Genomic DNA, 23,462 nt, shown 5'->3' on the forward strand with positions numbered 1-23,462 from the left:
GTCTGTTGTAATCAGATGAGGCTGAGTGCTGGGCAAGGGTGTGCTCTGAGCAAAGCAAGAAATGCCACTCATCTGGCTGGGGTTGAATTTCTCAAGACAAACACAAACTGGGATTGGAAAAAACAGATTATCTCTGTTTTCACCTAGGAGGTGATTGGAAAAAGTGAATTTGGCTTCATAGGCTGTCACTGTTACCAAAGGATTGTTTAGGAGAGATCAAAAGAGGCCAGGACCTGTAAGCAGTGTCAAATTCTAACTGGGAAATTGAAAAAGTTGTGTATTTCTTCTTACCAGATCAGTAGATTATGAAAACCTGACCATAAAGATATAGTATAACTGTACTGTGATTCACTCAAAATTCTAATAATTTTCTCTTCTATAAAACTGCTTCACAAAGGAGTGCAGAAATTTCCTGCCTCTCCAGTTGCCCCCTCTAATCCTCAACTTTGTTCATATCTATCTTGTTGCCTGGTCTAGTCTCCTGGTGGTGAAGAAAATTAACAAAAAGAAGTTGCTGAACTACTCATTTTTAAAATTTTTACTTATTATAGTTCAATGAATATGTCAGAAAAAGCAAAACCACAAAGATAAAAATCCATTTCTCTTTAAACAGAGTGTTAAATTAGAAGGAATTTAGCTGTAAAATTATTAGTGATATTTTTCTGGGAAATGACAGTATAACAGAAAATGAGTTGACACTTCTCAAATAGGTACTGTAGATGGTTTGGTGCCCTTGAAACACAATCACATGTATTCCCAGGATGCCCTGGAGTTTCTGGCACAAAGGACAGACAGCCGAAGACTTAATATTGGACAGCCAATTTACATCTACCCCAAGATATGTGATTCTGTGAAATAGAGTGCATTAGAAATGCACAGTTCATACTGCAGCACTAGAAAATACTATAGGCATTATGATAACCAAACTCAAAATATATACAATTACATTTTAAGCATATAATTAAAATACAACTTGTATGCACTGAAGCCAAAAGGTATTTGGAATGGCTATGTTGAGAGAATATGGAGTCAGTAGAATAGAACAGAGTCCCTCTTGATCCCTCTGTCAATGCTGTCCATCTACATCCAGAGTTAGAAACCTAGGTGTGCTGTCCGTCAAATTAAACTATTCTCTTTTTCTGCACGCCCACTCTATTAGCTTTCTTCTGGGAAAGCGACCATGTAGAAACTTCAAATGATGCCAACAGTAAACTCTCCCCAAAAGTCTACAGAATGTGAAAATATCTGAAACAAGTACAGTTCATCTACTGTTGGTGGAGCAAAGCATAAACTTTAACCCATACTGTGTTATAGTACTAGACATATCACAAAGAATTTACTTCCCATCAATTCATTCTACAAGTTATTGTCCTGAAAACATCCCTGTAACAGGAACTATAGACTGAAAAACAATATGAGTAATGATCTCTGCTCTCCAGGAGCTGAAGATCTTTTTTTTCTTTTTCTTTTTTGAGACAGAGTCTTGCTATGGACCTTTTAAAGAGCGATAGTTATTGTAACTTCAGGTGTTATCTCTATGTTTCCTGCAATTCAGAGATAATAATTTTAACAGAGAGCAATATTGAGAAATTAGTACCTTTGCTTCTTGTTCCTATAGATTCAATCAATACAAAGAATAAATAAAGCAATATTCCCCTTCATGGTAAGCAGGATCTAGAATCCCTTGTCCTAGAATTAACAGCTTTTTCTGATTCAGGTCCAGAGGAAGCGAATTAAGTTGGCTCATCTGAAGAGTGGCAGGAGATAGTGAGTTTTGTGTTTGGAAGTTAGAGATAAATGAAGCTAATCAAAGTCCAGCAGAGAAATCCATATTGTTCCTACCACATGCCAGGAAGTGTCAGGAACATTAATAGGGCAGCTTATGAAGCCAGGGGGAGAATTTCTCCCAAATCCAAGTGTGTGATTGAAATTGGACATTCTACTTTTCTTGTATTCAAATGTCATGCATCCGTTCATATCCATTTCATAAAAATAAACAAAGGTCTGGTTTACAAGATATCTGACTCTTAAAAAACCCTTCCACTTATTCTATGAATGCCTAGACAGATTATTTTCCATATTTCAGTCTTATAAAAGGCAAGAATATTTCCTCATTCGGTTAATAGCTAGTGAGCCCAATCTTTATGCCAGACTCTACATTACGCACTAGGAGCACAAAAGGAAATTGCACACTCTTCTTGTTCCTGGTAGGTCCCAGCTGAGAGGAGGATACTGGCATGTAAAGGACTAATTAGGCAAAAACTTCACACTGTGGGAGACGAAAGGAGAGCAAAAAACTCTCCCTCAGGAAGTTAGAGAAGGCTCACATAGTGAATGCTTCCACCACCCCCCACCCTCCCTGGAGGACTGAAGCACTCGTCCTCCAGCTGCCTCATCAAGATAAGGTTCCTTCCCAGGAGCAGACCACATGGGAAATCCTACCCCTTTGCCCCAGTTCAAGACAACTTTGCAGCATCATCCCAGCTTCCAAGTTCCCAGGAGGATTGACTAAGGCCTTTGTTATGACTGAATCAGCAGTTCCCCGTCCCCCTTCCAACCTAGGAGTAGGCAAATTTTTTCTGAAAGGGCTACAGAGTAAAATGTTTTAGGCTTTGCAGGCCACATAAGGTCAATTTCTGTCGGATAGCCTATTTTTTTTTTTAAACCCATTGAAAATGTAAAAACCATTCTTACTTATCTCAGGGCCAAATACAATCAGGCCATGAACCAGATTTGGTTTGTGGAATTTTGTTCCACCCTAAACAGCTTTTCTCACCTGCTCTCCACAGCTGTTAATCCCAAAAGGACCTCCCAGTAAACATCCGGCAAGCTAATCCCTGTCTCAATTCTATTTCCTGGGGAGCCTGAGGATTCAGTTTGACAAAGGAAGTACTTAGGACCCAAAGGTTTAACCAGGCTGGTGACACTGAAATTTACCTATGCCCTGTGGTTCTGAAAAGTAGCTTTCCAGAATTCCTCACCCTTTTTGTGTTCTGGGAAAGGGTTTACTGCAAAGAATCCCCTTCCCAGGTGACACATGAGACTCAAAATTCACTCTTTCTCCTAACTCACATAAGACTCACAAATGTTTCTGTATAACAAAGCCAGACCCTGAAAAACTGTCTTTGTTTCATAAATAATTAGCTGAACTGTTTATCCTCCCAAAACTAGCTTGACACAGAGATAAACATTTCTTGTTCATCTTGTCAGAGGCATTCGAACCAGAGCAACTTGAATACTGGCTGGATAAAATAAGGCTGAGACCTACTGAAGCAGGACATTTCACTGACCCCTTTGTGGAACTCGCAACAGGGGTGCCCCGTTTACTCAGCCCACAGCTCTCAACTCCTCATAGGAGGGAGTGAGCAAGCCAACAAGGCGGGAACTGGAATACACGAGTGCTAGAATCAGCTGGCTACTTCATAGCTGGCAAGAGCAAACTCCACTCACTCAGACCCGCTGCTTTCCACCCCTCGTCGGACAGGGCACACAGGTAAGCGGGTGCAGGAGCCAGGGTGAGTGCTACTGGGTGCTGGCAAGAGCAAACTCTGTGCATGCTCAGCGGCAGCACTGCGGGGGTGCCCACGACCCTTGAAGCCCCAGAGGGAGTGTTAGAGAGCTCTTTTCGCTCTTCCCTCCATGGACAGCTTAAGCGTTAACAGCTCAGTGTACCCTCTGCCTTTTCATGTGAGGCAGCTGCCTTCTGCCAACAAAGGCAAAGGGTCAGTGTGACAGTCTTTTTGCATCCACACTCACAGCTCCCGAGCTGTTGTCCAGTGTCCAGGAGAAATGAGATCATGTGAACAAATTGAAGGATGGTAAACGTGGGGGATATTATTGCAGATGAAAGTGGCTCTCAATGTGAAGGAGAGCTGCAAAGGGGATAAAGTGGGAAGGTATTCTTCCCCCAAAGTCCAGCTATCTCCTGCCGGATTCCTCTCTGAAGTTACCAGAGAAGCTGTCAATCTGTCCCTCTGAAGTCAAGCCACTTTTCTCCAACACCCAGCAGTAGTAGCCAACGTCCAGCTGCTTCTCCTCTCTCTGCCGGCTGGGTTTGGGGTTTTTACAGGCACAGAATGGGGCAGGGTGGGTCTATGGGTTGTGTTGGAAAAGGCAACATTCAAGCAGGAAAACAGCGATGTAAACTCTCACTTTGGGCTGCAGTCTCCGGCTTTTTGGCTTGAGGGTGGGGCCCTTACCAGGGACCTGCCCTCTTCTGCCCAGAATTTCTTTGCCGCCTGTCCCTATCACTACTGGGCTGCATTCCCAGGAGATTAGACATTCTAAGTCACAGGATGAGATAGGAGGTTGGCATAAAATACAGGTCATGAAGACCTTGCTGATAAAACAGGTTGCAGAAAAGAAGCCAGCCAAAACCCACCAAAACCAAGATGGTAACACAAGTGACCTCTAGTTGTCCTTACTGCTCATTATAATGCATTAGCATGCAGAAAGACACTCCCACCAGCACCATGACAGTTTACAAATGCCATGGCAATGTCAGGAAATTATCCTATATGGTCTAAAAAGGGGAGGAACCCTCAGTTTCGGGTATTGCCCACCCCTTTCCTGGAAAGCTCATGAATAATCCACCCCTTGTTTAGCATATAATCAAGAAATAACTATAAGTATCCTTATTTGAGCAGCCCGTGCTGCTGCTTTGCCTATGGAATAGTCATTCTTTTATTCCTATACTTTCTTAATAAACCTGCTTTCACTTTACTGTATGGACTAGCTCTGAATTCTTTCTTGCACGAGATCCAAGAACCCTGTCTTGGAGTCTGGATTGGAACCCCTTTCCAGTAACAACCTGACAGACTGAGTCTCCCCCTGATTACAAAAAAAAAAAAAAAAAAAAAAATCCTAACTGTGAAGTCATCCCACATATAGCTTAGACAAGCTCTTTGTTATAAAATCCAAGGCAAAACCACCCTGATGACACGCTCTGATCCTCAGATCTGGGGTGCTCTTGGTATTGCAAAATTCCAAATAAAATCAATCTCCCTACATGTTCTGGGTTTTAGTTTTTGTCTTTGTTTTTGCCTTTGCCTTTGACAGTGAGATGATGGCTGCAGGCAGAAGAAACGTAAGGTTCAAAGCACCAAAGTACAAAAGGATCTGATATTGTCACAGACTGAGAGATTTGATGTGGAGAGAGTATGGAGCTCTGGTGGGGGCCACAGTGCAAGGCTGGGGTAGTAAGTTAGAACAGGCTGAAGGGCCTTGATTCAACCACTAATGTGGTCATGTTCCTGAGGACCTTGGTGCAGTCCCCTCTTGGAGATAAAGAGGCTTGGCCACCATCCAGGCAAAAATAATTCCTTCAATAAAGAAAAAGACAGACTTTAAAAGTTATCACCAAGAAAACATGGTCCCCTAAGATAGAGGACTTCAACTGACAAATCCCTAAAATTTTGGAAGAATTTTAGAAAAATAGGTATCTTCTTGTACATTTTTAAGTTGATGTTTAAGATTTATCTTTTAAAAAGTGAAAAGTAACATGTAGTTTGAGACATATTGTAAATATCAACATTTTCAAATAAAATCTTTTTATCAGATTTTTTAAGTATGCAGCAGAATCTAAATACACTAGATTTATTCATTTTCTTAAAAAAAGACGAACACTTCCCTAATTTTATGTAGTTTCTTTCTCTGTTTGAACTTTCTATGTCATTTCACCAATACATTTTATACTAATTTAATACATTTTTATGCTGAAAAGTCTTTCACTGATTATTCTGTCATACATGTTTGCTACAAAAACATGTGTATGATTTTTTCCTGTGCCCACCAGTCTAAAAGATTTAAAAATTTTCTCTTCTATAAACAACTATTCAAAACAACATAAAGATATTAACAAATTTAATGTAATTTTAAAGATAAAAATTTAAACTTATTGAAAACACAATTCATACTGACATGGATCAAGCTCATTTATTTTGGATTAGTTTATATATCTATCAATGAATATTAGTTATTACTAGAAAGACAGAGTGTTCAGCATCCAGTCTATTTTTATTTTTACTTCATAGATATGAGCAATGAGCAACGTTGATCAGAAAAAAAGTGAATGGGAAAGAGTTTTCTTATGACAATATCACTCAGTTCTTTAAATTCTTCTGAATTTTATACCAAAAAAATCACAGTAGTCTATCATCAAACATTATTTTTAATAATATGTCAATGGACACTTTGTTAGCCAGCCCTTCTGTTATATTGAAAGCAAACAATAAGAAACCAATATATTTGAAAATGGACTTGTTATTCTATTATTAGAGCCACTGACATCCTCAATTTCTGAAAGGAAGAGCGCTAAGAGCACAAAGTCTTTACCATGACTCACTCAATGACAAGCCTATACCAGTGGCTCTTTCACTGAAAGGGGTTGTGTTTAATTCAATATATTTAGGCAGGGAGGGAGAAATTAAAATATTCAACTCAATGCATCTTTGAAAACTGTCAACATCCAGGAACAAAATGCAGTGTTATGCTCATTTAATTAGTGGGAAATATCCACCATATAACCTAATTAAGCAAGCCAACCCACATTTAATAATGTCAGCCATCAGCCACTCTTAAAAAAAAATCAGACCTCAAGTTTTAACTTCCAGTAAAAGGATAATACACGTATTTTCAGAAATATAAAATTCACTGTGAAATAAATTAGAAGTCATATCTTGTAATGTAAGTTACTAAAAGCAACCAAGACTGCAATTTTTCATATCTACATAATGTAATTTATCATTTTCTAATAAATTGACATGATCAAATGCCATTTTTATTTCTTAATTTGCAAGACTAAATTATGAGTTATTTATAGTGAGGAGTCTGATATATATATACATGAACTATGTATAAAGTATAGTTAACAAATCTCTAATCAAAATTGTCTATGTATTTTATTTTAAAAATTATATGTACTACTAAAAATTACTTAATCCAGCAGTTAGTTTCAATTATATTTTCCTAGTAGGAAGTAGAAAATATTAAATATTTTAGAGATGAAACAAGATTAGACTGACAGAAATCAGAATAATTATTTTATGAAATGATTTCAGAAAATAAGTTTAACTACTTCAGCATATGAGAAACTCCAATCTGAAAAAAAAAATCATGTAACAGTTTTTATCTACTATCTTAAGGAATTTGACAGTTCCAGAACACTTTTCAGTTGCATATAAAATAATCAACAGCCTAATTTGTAGTCATTTGCCTCCTCACTTCAAGCTAGCAACAGCTTGAAGCTGACCGTGTCAAGCAAGCGTATCAATGCCATTTTTCCAATAGCCTGTGCTCGCTTTACGTCTCTGTGACACATTTTGGTAATTCATGCAATATTTCAAATTTTGCATTATTATCACATCTTTTATGATGATATGTGATTTTTTTTTTTGACAGACTCTCACTCTGTCTCTCAGGCTGGAGTGCAGTGGTGCGATCTCAGCTCACTGCAACCTCCATCTCCTGGGTTCAAGAGACTCTTCCGCCTCTGCCTCCTGAGTAGCTGGGATTACAGCCATCCATCACCACACACGGCTAATTTTTTTTTTTTTTTTTTTGTATTTGCAGTAGAGATGGGGTTTCACCATGTTGGCCAGGCTGGTCTCAAAATCCTGGCCTCAGGTGATGCACCCACCTCGGCCTCCCAAATTGCTGGGATTACAGGCGTGAGCCACCACACCTGGCAGTGATTTTTGATATTGCTACTGACACTGTAATCGCACATGCAAGACAGCAAATTTAATTGATAAATATTGTGTGTTCTGACTGCTTCACAGACCAGCAATTGTCCCATCTTTCTCCCTCTCCTTGGGCTCTCCTATTCCCTGAGACAAAACAATATTGAAATTGGGCCAATTAATAACCTATAAATAGCCTCTAAGTGTTCAAGTGAAAAGAAGAGTCACATATCTCTTATTTTAAATCAAGAGCTAGAAACAAGCTTATGAGGAAGACATGTTAAACGTCAAGATGGGCCGAAAGTTAGGTCTCTTGTGTCAAACAGCCAGATTGTGAATGCAAAGGAGAAGTTCTTGAAGGAAATTAAAAGTGCTACTCCAGTCAATATATGAATAATGAGAAAGCAAAAAGCCTTATTGCTGATAGGGGGAAAGTTGCAGTGGTCTGGAGAGAAGATCAAGCCAGCCACAACACTCCCTTAAGCCAAAGCCTAATCCAGAGCAAGATTCTAAGTCTCCTCAATTCTGTGAAGACTGAGAGAGGTGAGGAAGCTGCAGGCAAAAGGTTGAAAGCTAGCAGAGGTGGGTTCTTGAGGCTTAAGGAAAGAAACTATGTTCATAACATAAAAGTACAAAGTGAAACAGCAAGTGCTGATGGAAAAGCTACAGCAAGTTACCGAGAGGATCTAGCTAAGATCATTGATGCAGGTAGCTACACTCAACAACAGATTTTCATTGTAGACAAAACTGGCTTCTATTGGAAGAAGATGCACCCTGCAACATTCATACCTAGAAAGAAGTCAGTGTCTGACTTCAGAGTTTCAAATGCAGAGTTTCAATGCAGCTGGTGACTTTAAGTGGAAGCCAGTGCTCGTTGACCATTCCAAATATCATAGGACCTTTAAGAATTATGTTAAATCAACTCTGCCTGGCTCTATAAGTGCATCAACAAAGCCTGGATGACAGTATATTTATTTACAACATAGTTTACTGAATATTTAAAGCTCTCTGTTGAGACTTAGTGCTCAGAAAAAAGATTCCTTTCAAAGTACTACTACTGATTGACAATGCACCTAGTCACCCAAGAACTCTGGGAAAGATGTACAAAGAGTTTTTATACCTGCTAACACAACATCCATTCTGCAGTCCATGAATCAAGGGGTAATTTTGACTTTCAAGTCTTATTATTTAAGAATTATGTTTCTTAAGGCTAATGTCTGGCAAATGTTTATATTTTTTGTAGAGATGGGTTTTCACAATGTTGCCCCGGTTGGTCTCGAACTCCTGGGCTCAAGCAATCTGCCTGCCTTGGCCTCCCAAAGTGCTGAGATTACAGGCGTGAGCCATGGTGCCTGGCCAATAGTTGTTTATTACTTAATATTTTTGGCAGGAAAATAAAAGGGACTTGAAAAACTCTTTAGGCTTATGTCTGTATCTTAGACTTCTGAGTATTTCACTCACTTCCACGTAAAGGGACCCATAACTCCTTTAGGGCCTATAAAGTAGATGGCAGTCTCTCTTTTGGCTAACACTTTACGTAAATTAGGTGATATATAATTTTATATTTTAAAATTTTTATATATGATACACAAAATATATATAGATGCTCTTCTGCTTGTAATGGTGTTATGTCCTAATAAGCCCATCATAAGTTGAAAGTATCATAAGTTGAAAATGCATTTAATACACCTAACCTACTGAACATCATAGTTTAGCCTAGCATTCCTTAGACATGCTCAGAATGCTTATGTTAGCCTAAAGTTGGGCAAAATTATCTAACACAAAGCCTATTTCATAATAAAGTGTTAAATATCTCATGGAAATTATTGAAGTTTCTACTGAAAGTGAAAAGCAGAATGGTTGTATGGGCACTTGAAGTTTCAGTTGAATACATTGCTTTCACACTACTATAGAGCTGAAAAATAGTAAGTCAACCTATCATTGGGGACTGTCCATATATGAAACATACAACAGACAAAAGAAAGGGATTTGGTTTTCAAAATTGGAATTCTTATATATTTTTTACATTTATTATGATAAAAAATTGAAAAAAAGAAAGAAGGAAAATCTTTCTAGACAAAACCTAGCAGAATCTCTACTTGAACAGTTTAATTGCCACTGAAAAAATTAATCTTGCAATATTTTATACAAAATCTTATAATTGGTTCTATAGTTAATTAAAATTTCATTACTGAGCAGATATGAAAAGCACAGCTTATTTGAAGTATTTATTATTCCTTCTTGAATTGCTAATGAATTAAAGCCTCAAATGCATCTGTATTAAAGTCACCTTCCTGCTCATCTATCTACATGCTCAGAAAGTAATATGTTAAAACCAAGAGTCTTCATATATTTGGTGCTGTTATTTTTCTTAACTAGTGAATGCAAATTTATTCCATGGTACTTTCTGAAAAATTAACTATGTTTCTGTTAACATCATCTTTTCCAGTCCAGTTGCTTTAGTAATTAAGATTCTATTTGAAGTTCATTTTCATTTAAGCATATTATAACTTTTGACAACATTTTTCTCTTCATCAAAAGGTCAATGCAAAGTCATGTCAACAGCATTAACTGTTCTGATCTGTAGACTTCATGGAAGAAGATGCTACTTCACCCTCTGGATTTTAGTTCATATTTCTTAATCCATTTAAAACAAATGTAAGAGAATCTAATCATTTACTAAAAAAAAATCGGTAGTGACTGGCAAGATGGCTGAATAGGAATAGCTACAGTCTGCAGCTCCCAGCGAGATCAATGCAGAAGGCAGGTGATTTCTACATTTCCAACTGAGGTACCCAGTTCATCTCATTGGGACTGGTTAGATGTTGGATGCAGCCCACAGAGGGCAAGCCAAAGCAGGGTGGGGCATTGCCTCACCTGGGAAGTGCAAGGGGTAGGGGAACTCCCTCCCCTAGCCAAGGGAAGCCAGGAAGAACTGTGCCATGAGGAATGGCTGGTTCCAGCCCAGATACTATGCTTTTCCCATGGTCTTCACAACCCACAGACCAAGAGATTCCCTTGGGTGACTACGCCACCAAGGCCCTGAGTTTCAAGCACAAAACTGGGCAGCTGTTTGGGCAGACACCAAGCTAGCTGCAGCAGATTTTTTTCATACCCCAGTGGCTCCTGGAATGCCAGTGAAACAGAACCATACACTCCCCTGGAAAGGGAGCTGAAGCCAGGGAGCCAAGTGGTCTAGCTTAGTGGATCCCATGCCTACAGATCTCAGCAAGCTAAGATCCACTGGTTGAAATCGCTACAAGCCCAGCAGTCTGAAGTTGACCAGGGACGCTCGAGCCTGGTGTGGGGAGGGGCATCTGCCATTACTGAGGCTTGAGTAGGCAGTTTTCCCTGTACAGTGTAAATAAAGCCTCCAGGAAGTTTGAACTGGGCAGAGCCCACTGCAGCTCGACATTCCTCCTCTCTGGGCAGGGCATCTCTGAAAGAAAGGCAGCAGCCCCAGTTAGGGGCTTACAGATAAAACCCCTATCTCCCTGGGACAGAGCACCTGAGGGAAAGGGCGGCTGTCAACCCAGCTTCAGCAGACTTAAATGTTCCTGCATGCCAGCTCTGAAGAGAGCAGCAGATCTCCCAGCACAGTGCTCGAGCTCTGCTAAGGGCCAGACTGCCTCCTCAAATGGGTCCCTGACCCCTGTGCCTCTTGACTGGGAGACATCTCCCAGCAGGGGTAGACAACTCATATAGGAGCACTCTGGCTGGTATCTGGCAGGTGCCCTCTGGGACAAAGCTTCCAGAGGAAGGAATAGGCAGCAATCTTTGCTATTCTGCAGACTCTGCTGGTGATACCCAGGCAAACAGGGTCTGTAGTGGATCTCCAGTAAACTCCAGCAGACCTGCAGGAGAGGGCCTGAGTGTTAGAAGGAAAACTAACAAACAGAAAGGAATAGCATCAACATCAACAAAAAGGACATCCACACGGAAACCCCATCCGAGGGTCACCAACAACAAAGACCAAAGGTAGATAAATCCACAAAGATGAGGAAAAACCAGTGCAAAAAGGCTAAAAATTCCAAAAACCAGAACACCTCTTCTCCTCCAAAGGATCACTACTCCTCGCCAGCAAGGGAACAAAACTGGACAGAGAATGAGCTTGACAAATTGACAGAAGTAGGCTTCAGAAGGTAGGTAATAACAAATTCCTCCAAGCTAAAGGAGCATGTTCTAACCCAATGCAAGGAAGCTAAGAACCTTGAAAAAAGGTTACAGGAATTGCTAACTAGAATAACCAGCTTAGAGAAGAACATAAATGACCTGATGGAGATGAAAAACACACCATGAGAACTTCGTGAAGCATATACAAGTATCAATAGACGAACTGATCAAGCAGAAGAAAGGATATCAGAGATTGAAGATCAACTTAATGAAGTAAAGCATGAAGACAAGATTTGAGAAAAAAAGAATGAAAAGGAACGAACAAAGCCTCCAAGAAATACAGGACTATGTGAAAAGACCAAACCTACATTTGACTGGTGTACCTGAAAGTGACAGGGAGAATGGAACCAAGTTGGAAAACACTCTTCAGGATCTTATCCAGGAGATCTTCCCCAGCCTAGCAAGACAGGCCAACATTCAAATTCAGGAAATACAGAGAACACCACAAAGATACTCCTCAAGAAGAGCAACCCCAAGACACATAATCGTCAGATTCACCAAGGTTGAAATGAAGGAAAAAATGCTAAGGGCAGCCAGAGAGAAAGGTCGGGTTACCCACAAATGGAAGCACATCTGACTAACAGCATATCTCTCTGCAGAAATGCTAGAAGCCAGAAGAGAGTGGGAGTCAATACTCAACATTCTTAAAGAAAAGAATTTTCAAACCAGAATTTCATATCCAGCCAAACTAAGCTTTGTAAGCGATATGGAAAGGAAAAACTGATAGCGGCCACTGCAAAAACTACCAAATTGTAAAGACCATCAACACTATAAAGAAACTAACTTTGTAGTTGCTTTATAACATATGCAACAACTAACGGGCAAAATAACCAGCTAGCATCATAATGACAGGATCAAATTCATGCATAACAATATCAACCGTAAATGTAAATGGACTAAATACCCCAATTATAAGACACAGACTGCCAAATTGGATAAAGAGTCAGGACCCATCAGTGTGCTGTATTCAGGAGACCCATCTCACATGAAAAGACACACATAGGCACAAAATTAAGGGATAGAGGAATATGTGCCAAGCAAATAGAAAGCAAAAATAAGCAGGGGATGTAATCCTCATCTCTGATAAAACAGACTTTAAACCAGCAAAGATAAAAAAAGATAAACAAGGGCATTACATAATGGTAAAGGGATCAATGCAACAAGAAAAGCTAACTATCCTAAATATATATGCACCCAATACAGCAGCACCCAGATTCATAAAGCAAGTTCTTAGAGACATACGAAGAGACTTAGACTCCCACACAATAATAGTGGGAGACTTTAACACCCCACTGTCAATATTAGACAGATCAATGAGACATAAAAATAACAAGAATATTCAAGACTTGAACTCAGCTCTGGACCAAGCGGACCTAATAGACATCTACAGAACTCTTCATCCCAGATCAACAGAATATACATTTTTCTCAGCACCACTTCACACTTATTCTAAAATTGACCATATAATTGGAAGAAAACACTCCTCAGCAAATGCAAAAGAACAGAAATTATAACAAACAGTCTCTCAGACCACAGTGCAATCAAATTAGAACTCAGGATTAAGAAACTCACTCAAAACCACACAAATACATGGAAACTGAACAACCTACTCCTGAATGACTACTGAGTAAATAATGACATTAAGGCAGAAATAATGAAATTCTTTTAAACCAATGAGAACAAAGACACAATGTACCAGAATCTCTGGGACACAGCTAAAGCAGTGTTTAGAGGGAAATTTATAGCACTAAATGCCCACAGGAGAAAGCAAGAAAGATCTAAAATCAACACTTTAACATCACGATTAAAAGAGCTAGAAAAGCAAGAGCAAACAAATTCAAAAGCTAGCAGAAGACAAGAAATAACTAAGATCAGAGCAGAACTGAAAGAGATACAGACATGAAAAATCCTTCAAAAAATAAATGATTCCAGGAGCTAGTTTTTTGAAAAGATTAACAAAATACATAGACCACTAGCCAGACTAATACAGAAAAGAGAGAAGAATCAAATAGACACAATAAAAAAAATGATAAAAGGGATATCACCACTGATCCCACAGAAATACAAACTACCATCAGAGAATACTATAAACACCTCTATGCAAATAAACTAGAAAATCTAGAAGAAATGAATAAATTCCCGGACACATATACCCTCCCAAGACTAAACCAGGAGGAAGTCAAATCCCTGAATAGACCAATAACAATTTCTGAAATTGAGGCAGTAATTAATAGCCTATCAACCAAAAAAAGCCCAGGATCAGACGGATTCACAGCTGAATTCTACCAGAGGTACAAAGAGGAGAAGGTACCATTCCCTCTGAAACTATTCCAAACAATAGAATAAGGACTCCTCCCTAACTCATTTGATGAGGCCAGCATTATCCTGATACCAAAACCTGGCAGAGACACAACAAAAAAAGAAAATTTCAGGCCAATATCCATGACGAACATTGATGTGAAAATCCTCAATAAAATACTGGCAAACCAAATCTAGCAGCACATCAAAAAGCTTATCCATCACAATCAAGTCGGCTTCATCCCTGGGATGCAAGGCTGGTTCAACACACACAAACCAATAAACTTAATGCATCACATAAACAGAACCAAGGACAAAAACCACATGATTATCTGAATAGATGCAGAAAAGGCCTTTGATAAAATTCAACACCCCTTCATGCTAAAAACTCTCAGTAAACTAGGTATTGATGGAACATATCTCAAAATAATAAAAGCTATTTATGACAAACCCACAGCCTATATCATACTGAATGGACAAAAGCTGGAAGCATTCCCTTTGAAAACCAGCACAAGACAAGGATGCCCTCTCTCACCACTCCTATTCAACATAGTATTGGAAGTTCTGGCCAGAGCAATCAGGCAAAAGAAAGAAATAAAGCGTATTCAAATAGGAAGAGAGAAAGTCATATTGTCTCTGTTTGCAGATAACATGATTCTATATTTAGAAAACCCCATCATCTTAGTCCAAAATCTCCTTAAGCTGATAAGCAACTTCAGCAAAGTTCCAGGATACAAAATCAATGGGCAAAAATCACAAGCATTCCCATACGCCAATAACAAACAAACAGAGAGCCAAATCATGAGTGAACTCCCATTCACAATTGCTACAAAGAGAATAAAATACCTAGGAATACAACTTACAAAGGATGTGAAGGACCTCTTCAAGGAGAACCACAAACAACTACTCAAGGAAATAAGAGAGGACACAAACAAATGGAAAACCATTCCATGCTCATGGATGGGAAGAATTAATATCATGAAAATGGCCATACTGCCCAAAGTAATGTATAGATTCAATGCTATCCCCATCAAGCTACCATTGACTTTCTTCACAGAATTAGAAAAAAACATTACTTTAAATTTCATATGGAACAAAAAAAGAGTCTGTATAGCCAAGACAATCTTAAGCGAAAAGAACAAAGCTGGAGGCATCACGCTACCTGACTTCAAACTATACTACAAGCCTACAGTAACAAAAACAGCATGGTACTGGTACGAAAACAGATATATAGATTAATGGAACAGAACAGAGGCCTCAGAAATAACACCACACATCTACAGCCATCTGATCTTTGACAAATCTGACAAAAACAAGCAATGGGGAAAGGATTCCCTATTTAATAAATGGTGTTGGGAAAACTGGCTAGCCATTTGCAGAAAACTAAAACTGGATGCCTTCCTTACACCTTACACAAAAATTAACTCAAGTTAAATTAAAGACTCCGATGTAAGACCTAAAACCATAAAAACCCTAGAAGAAAACCTAGACAATACCATTCAGGACAAAGACTTCATGACTAAAACACCAAAAGCAACGGCAACAAAAGCCAAAATTGACAAATGGGATCTAGTTAAACTAAAGAGCGTCTACACAGCAAAAGAAACTATCATCAGAGTTAACAGGCAACATACAGAATGGGAGAAAATTTTTGCAGTCTATCCATCTGACAAAGGGCTAATATCCAGAATCTACAAAGAACTTAAACAAATTTACAAGAAAAAAAACAACCCCATCAAAAAGTGGGCAAAGGATATGAATGGACACTTCTCAAAAGAAGACATTTATGCAACCAACAAACATACAAATAAAAGCTCATCATCACTGGTTATTAGAGAAATGCAAATCAAAACCACAATGAGATACCATCTCATGCCAGTTAGAATGGTGATCATTAAAAAGTCAGAAAACAACAGATGCTGGAGAGGATGTGGAGAAACAAGAACGATTTTACACTGTTAGTGGGAATGTAAATTAGTCCAACCATTGTGGAAGACAGTGTGGTGATTCCTCAATGATCTAGAACCAGAAATACCATTTGACCCAGCAATCCCATTACTGGATATATACCCAAAGGAATATAAATCATTCTACTATAAACAGACATGCACATGTATGTTTACTGCAGCACTATTCACAATAGCAAAGACTTGGAACCAACCCAGATGCCCATCAATGATAGACTAGATAAAGAAAATGTGGCACAAATATAACATGGAATACTATGCAGCCATAAAAAAGGATAAATTCATGTCCTTTGTAGGGACACAGATAAAGCTGGAAACCATCATTCTCAGCAAACTAATACAGGAACAGATAAACAAACACTGCATGTTCTCACTCATAAATGGAAGTTGAACAATGAGAACACATGGACACAGGGAGGTGAACATCACACACTGCGGCCTGGTGGGGGGTGGGGGGCTAGAGGAGGGATAGCATTTAGCATTAGGAGAAATACCTAATGTAGATCATGGGTTGATGGGTGCAGCAAACCACCATGGCACGTGTATACCTATGTAATAAACCTGCACATTCTGCACATGTACCCCAGAACTTAAAGTATAATAAAAATAAAATAAAATAAAAATCAGTGTTTTTGAAGTTTCTTGAGATATGCTTTAATTGCAAATATCTTACTTTGAAACTGTATACATTATGTACAAAGCAAAATGTATATAACAGATATTTTATTAGTAGTAAATTTTATAAAGATCATTTTCTGTATTCATGAAACCATGAAAAATATTCCTTAAGGGTTTAAGATACTTTTTATAGTGCAAACATTTTACTGCTAATTTATTAAAAGCCAACTAAAGAAAACTATTATAGTTATGAACATTATAGCAGACTAACAATTATAAATACAGCAAGGTGAATTTTTCCCACTTGAAGTGGGAGTAGGACATTATGATGAGGGATATGAAGTTTCTGGAAATCTGTATTCCCACAAAAAAAAAAACACTGTGTAGGTCTCAAATTCTAAATTCATTTAAGGGAAAGATATGAGGGACAGGAAGAGGGAGGCTCTAATCCTACTCAGCGCATTATTAGGATGAAGTGCACTACACTGTTGAGCTTCAGAATCAACCATTTCATAAAGTTCAGCCTATAAAGTCCATATTCCTTTCCGGTCCACTTTCTCAGTGTTTTCAGACTATGTTTCCCACAGAGTTCTGCAGAAGCGTCTACACTGCTACTCAAGAGGGGAGACAGGAGCTGATGCCATGTGGAAAGTAAACCCTGTGAGTAGGGCTCTAGTTCTTTGTCATTGTTTCAACCAGAGAAACTCTGTTTTTATCTTTTTTATACAATGAAGCTCCCAGTAAAGCATTGTTTAAAAAGAAAGAATTACACTTCTAAAAGTGATTTTGAAAAATCATAGCTATATTCCAGTATCACAAAAAGATACTGAAATCATGGTATTATAAAAATGCAGAGGTGATCTCATCTAATTTCCCTAATTTACAGAAGATGCTGAGGCTCTGAAAGGTTAATGCTTTTCCCAGGGCCACAGTGTAACTCCTTGGCAAAGCCCTATGGAAACCAAGTCATTTCAAGTCCAGGGTTGTCTTCAGTATACCGTTTGATAATATCACTGCCTTATAGTTCTACCACCCAAGCCCTCCATTTTCTAGGCTGTACTTCTCTAGTTCCTTCATGTACACTTAACTGCTATGCTCTCTAGAAACCTCAACATCCTCATCTCTTCTACTTACATTCCAATTTTACAAGTTTCCTAAAGTACCCAGGATTCTACCTAACACAACCTGCTGTACTTGGACCCTTTCTAAGCACCGTGAGACCATGCCTCATTTGTTCTAGGTACATAGTTATCTTTTCAGTCATTTCATGGTAGAAGTGCAAGTGTCAGATGCTACTCTCACGGCTGTCTCCAAACTTCTGCTACTTTAGGAATTAAAAGGACAAATGCTATGAAATGCCACCTCAGAGTCAGGAAAATAAAACCATAATGAGAGTGAAGTACAGCATTCTGGTTAGAGAAGTGAACTATATCATCATAACAAAGTTCTGTAGGGAGTCCCAGTTATCCTACTATAAAGCACAGTTGATCCAAGCAGCTTGCAGGATAGAAATAGCAGGTTATTTTCTTAAAGGAAGAAAACCCCTCCTGTTTACTACTTGTGAAATAACTTCTTTGTGGGAAAAAAATATTATCTTTAACTATCAAAATGGAACACAACCAGTTATAAAGTCAAATTATGAAATCTGTGTGACAGGGAAGTGGTGGAGAAATCATCTGAATACGGAAACTCACCTCTTGGTGAGAACAAACTTTGTAAGCCCTGATGTCAATATTCTAATGTAAGTCAAGGCCAGGGTATTACTAACTACCAGGAAGAATGAAGAAAATTATTCTAAAACATAAAATAATAATGACTTTACATATAACCATGCAGCCGTTGTAGCAAATTTGAAGATAAATACATCCAAATCTTTAAAAAAAAAAAAAAAAAAAAAAAGAAAGAAATGCAATAACAAGAAGGGCCCAGGCAAGCAAATTTGCTCAGAAAAGATAGAAAAAGATTATTTAAAGCTTTAGAGAACCCGAATAATCTTTTAATAAGATCAAAGAACACTTAACAACATACAGCAAGATATATTTCGGTAAGGAATTTAATCAAATTATACACATTTTCCCCTGCAATTTGATAGTGTGATGACATATCCTTAAACTTTTAACTATCTTGATGTTATTTTGCCAATTTGTGTAAAACTGAAATCAAACTGATTTTTTCTCCTCCACTAAGAATGCCAATGTCATCTGGGTGAATATCCTTGCCTATATCATTGTTGTACAGATTTTCCTTATGATGTATATATGATAAATATACTTGTATCTGTTTCATTACATACACTTGTGTTTCATTCCATTTTTTAATTTTCTTTCCTTAAATCCTTATCACATATTTTCAAAGGTGTGCTGTTAGGACACTGTAATAACTGCTTTTTTGTCAAAAAGTTCTTTGCTATTTCTGTGTGGTTATTTTCCACTAGATTTACTTGAGAATTTTTGTCAAGTTCCCCCTAAAAAAATATTTTTCAATTTGATCAGAATTGTGTTAAACCTATCAATTAATTTGAGGAAAATTGTTCATTCCAACATTTTTGAACCCTTATAATTTTCAAGACATTGTGCTAAGAACTTTACCAAAACAAGTGACAATGTATTCACAAGACCTGTGGGAAATACCATTGTATCCCTAACATACGGATAGTAAAATTGAGTCTTAGGAACTTTAAGCAGCTACTGAGTAGAGGGGCAAGAATCCTAGCCTGGGTCAGTTTGATTCCAAGCCCATGATCTTAATTATCATGATATACTACCTTCTCATCAATTACTACAATACACCTCTCCATCCATTCAAGAACCCCTTCATATGGATAAGTAAAATGTGACAGGTTTTCTTATATTTCTTTACATTTCATGAGTTGATTCCTAAATATTTTATGATTTTTTTTCTGTAGCAACTGTGAATGAGATTGCCCTGTTGTTTTATCTAATTGGGCACTATACTGATAATAATGGTCAATTTTGTATCATTTTCTTGAATTCAGCCAGTTTAATGAGGTTGCTTAATTCTAGGCTACCTACATTTGAAATATTACATTATCTGCAATAATAATAGTTTGTCTCATTGTTTTCAAAACACTCTAGCTTTTATTGTTCCATGTTTAATTACATTGACCTTCTAGAATACTGTAACAGTAGTTAACATAGTATAATATATACACTGTATAATATGGTGTAAATAATAATTTAATGACAATGAAAGGTCTTTTGTTCAATCATTAAGGATAAGGCACCTCTTAGTTTCAAACAATTTTTATTTATTTTTTTAAGTAATTGATTTTTTAACCAGAAATATATTACATTTTATTAAATATGTTTCAGTACCTATTAAAAGTATTTTTTATTTAATCTATTGATATAAAGTAAGTGCATTCATTTCGAACCATCCTTGCATTTTTTAATGCAAATTACTTGTCGATGGTGGAGTATATCTATTTGTTAATATTTTATTTAGAATTTTATTTTTAATAAAACATGAAATTTGTAATTCTTTTATGCACCATCTTTTCAGGTTTTGGTATCATATGTGATACTTCATTCAATGATTTGCTTATTGTATAAATCAGTGTACCAGAAAGAAACAAATATTATAGTCAAATTAAGATAATTTCAGGAAAGATTAATAAATTTACCATGTACAAAGAGGTATGCAGGGAGTGTAGATTAACCACCAGCTACACTATAGTATCTTAGGGTGGTTAACACACCTAGGTCTGAAGGGGTAAAGGGAGAAATAGTTACCAAACTCAGAATGAGAGGATAATATTAAAATGGCCAACTTGCAAAAACCTATAATCTTTAGTAGGGGTCTCAAACAGCCTAAGGTAACTCCTCAGAAAACGAGCTAAAGATATAAATACTGCAAGTTTACTTTCTTTCCTCCCTTAAACCTGCTGCTGGGTTTCCCATTTGGCTGAAACCAGTCCAAAACAGAGTGCAGGGAGTCCTTCAAAGTAGTACATCTGGGTATGAGGGCAGTGAGGGGAAAGGTGGAGTGGATCTAGAGGGGAACATGAATGACACAAGCACATACATGTTTTTAATGTTCTGAGCAAAGTATATACTGTTGAAATGAACTATTCCTGAAATATTTAAATGCATAATTTTCAAGCACTTTGTGACTCTGGAGCATGTGTTTTTAGATAATTGGCATGTTTTTAAATTTTTTTCCCAACGATTACATTAGAAAGGTTTTCTACCTCTTGAGTCAATTTTAATACTTCTTTCATCAGACAAGTTATTCATGTCATTGAAATGTTCAAGTTGTAGGCTTTAATGTGCATCAAATCTCTTATGAGTTTAATTTATTCTTTGTTCATTGTTAAATCCTCTTTCTCATTTCAAATGGTGTGTATATTCCTTTTTAGATTTTCCATTAGTTTGGCTTTTTTAAAAAAAACTAATTCTTGTCTATATCAATCTGTGACTTTTTAAATTTTATCTCATTTTAAGTCTAATTTATATATGTGTGTGCATGTGTTGGTGTGTATGTGTTATTTCTTTTCACTCAGATTCCTTAAATTTAACATTTTTGTTTTATTTCTATCTTTTTACATTGAATGCTTGATTAATTAATTTTCTCTTTTATTAATGTATAAAGAATATAAAAATGTTTACTTATATTTAAATCTTTGATTCATTTTAAGTTAATTTTTATATATGTTGAAAGGTAGAGGTCCAGCTTCAATCATCTGCATATGGCTAGCCAGTTATCCCAGCATTATTTATTAAATAAGAAGTCTTCTCCCCATTGCTTGTTTGTGTTGGTCCTGTCAAAGATCAGATGGTTGTTATGTGTGTGGAGATATTTCTGAGTTTTCTTTTCTGTTCCTTTGGTCTATGTGTCTGATTTTGTACCAGTACCATGCTGTTTTGATTACTATATTTTTACAGTATATTTTGAAGTTGGGTAGTGTTATGCCTCTAGCTTTTTTTTTGGGGGGGGTTTTGTTTTCTTTTGTTTTCTTTGTTCTGTTTTTTGCATAAGATTGCTTTAGCTATTTGCATTCTTTTCGGATTCCATATGAATTTTAGAATAGCTTTTTCTAATACCGTGAAGAATGATGTTGGTAGTTTGACAGGAATAGTAACAACACTGAAGATAACCTAGAAAATATTCTTCTTGATATTGACCTTGGCAAAGAATTTTTAGCTAAGTCCCCAAAAGCAATCGCAACAAAAACAAAACTAGACAAATAGGACCCAATTAAACTAAAGAGCTTCTGCACAGCAAAAGAAACTATCAACAGAGTAAACAGACAACCTACAGAATGAGAAAAGACATCACAAGCTACGTATCGGACAAAGTCCTAATATCCAGAATCTATAGGGAACTTAAATCAATGAGTGAAAAACAACCCCATTAAAAGAAGAGCAAAGGACATGAACAGACACTTCTCAAAAGAAAGCATACAAGCAGCCAACAAACATGAAAAAACACTCACCATCACTAATCATCAAAGAAATGCAAATTGAAACCACAGTGAGATACCATTTCACGCTAATCAGAATGGCTATTATCAAAAAGTCAAAAAAAAAAACAAAACAGATGCTGGCAAAGCTGCAGAGAAAAGTGAATGTTTATACACTGTTGGTAGGAATGTAAATTAGTCCACCCACTGTGGAAAGCAGTCTGGAGTTTTCTCACATGTATTTGTATGTTCATCCCTGCGCTATTCACAGTAGCAAAGACATGTAGTCAACTCAGGTGCCCATCAATGGCAGATTGGCTAAAGAAAATGTGGTACATATAAACAACATGGAATTTTACACAGCCATAAAAAAGAGAGCAAAATGATGTCCTTTGTAGCAACATGGATGGAGCTGGAGGCTATAATCCTAAGCAAACTAATGCAGGAAGAGAAAACCAAATTTTACATTTTCTCCCTTATAAGTAGGAGCTAAGCATTGAGTACACGTGGACACAAAGAAGAGACCAACAAACACCAGGGCCTGCTTGAGGGTAGAGGGTGGAAAGAGGAAGAGGATCAAAAAACTACCTATCAGATACTATGCATCACTGGGTGATGGGATCCATACCCCAAACCTCATCAGACAATATTTCCATGTAAAACATAGGTGCACATGTATCCCCTGTATCTAAAATAAAAGTAAAAACTTAAAAAATACATATTTACTTGTGAATAAGTTTATCTTTGGCCAAATCATGTAAGTTTTGATATTCATATTTCTTTTTTTTCTTTGGTAAGCTGTTGACTGTTTTTTGTTGTTTGATCCTATGGTAATCTGTGGGGATGTTTTAAGTATACAAATGATTGAAAAAATGTTATTAAAATTTTAAAATTAATTCTTGTTATGTTTTAGGTAACCAAAGAATCTGACCCATAGGGTTTCTAACTCACAAAAGGTAAGTTCCATATTGCACTTAGTAGTTATTATTTTCATTACTTAATGTGGTATTGTTCCCATATATATCCATTAGCAAAATGTATTGTTGTATGTTTTTAGATTTATATAAATAGAATCACACTGTATAATTTTAAAACTTGCTCTTTTTGGCTAAATTTTATATTTTTTAGATCCATCCACTGTTGTATGTACTCATAGTTTATTCATTTGAACTGCTATAGAGTTTTTAATTGCATATATACTCCAAAATTCATGCTTCTATTCTTCTTTAGATAGACAGTTAAGGCCTCTCCAGTTTTTTGCAATTATGAATGGTGGTGCAACAAACATTCTTGCATGATCTTCTT

At 37.1% G+C, this 23,462-nt stretch overlaps 1 long non-coding RNA gene across 3 annotated transcripts in view, besides 1 other annotated feature; it reads left to right on the forward strand.

The window, feature by feature from the left end:
- The first annotated feature begins 2,882 nt into the window (after window positions 1–2,882).
- Window positions 2,883–23,462, forward strand: part of LOC102724227 (uncharacterized) — a 64,172-nt gene continuing 43,592 nt past the window's right edge. For all 3 annotated transcript variants that reach the window (XR_001749032.2, XR_429054.4, XR_931403.3), the window contains exons 1-2: window positions 2,883–3,493; window positions 23,071–23,113. This is a non-coding gene — a long non-coding RNA (uncharacterized LOC102724227). The remainder of the gene's footprint in view (window positions 3,494–23,070; window positions 23,114–23,462) is intronic.
- Window positions 3,112–3,683: an enhancer, noted in NCBI's record as "NANOG-H3K27ac-H3K4me1 hESC enhancer chr12:18906323-18906894 (GRCh37/hg19 assembly coordinates)". NCBI's record gives its function as "activates a minimal SCP1, AML or CMV promoter by ChIP-STARR-seq in naive H9 embryonic stem cells {active_cell/tissue: H9 hESC(naive)}" and the evidence as "EXISTENCE:reporter gene assay evidence [ECO:0000049][PMID:30033119]".

Source organism: Homo sapiens, chromosome 12 (assembly GCF_000001405.40).
Source record: "Homo sapiens chromosome 12, GRCh38.p14 Primary Assembly".
NCBI classification, from domain to species: domain Eukaryota; kingdom Metazoa; phylum Chordata; class Mammalia; order Primates; family Hominidae; genus Homo; species Homo sapiens.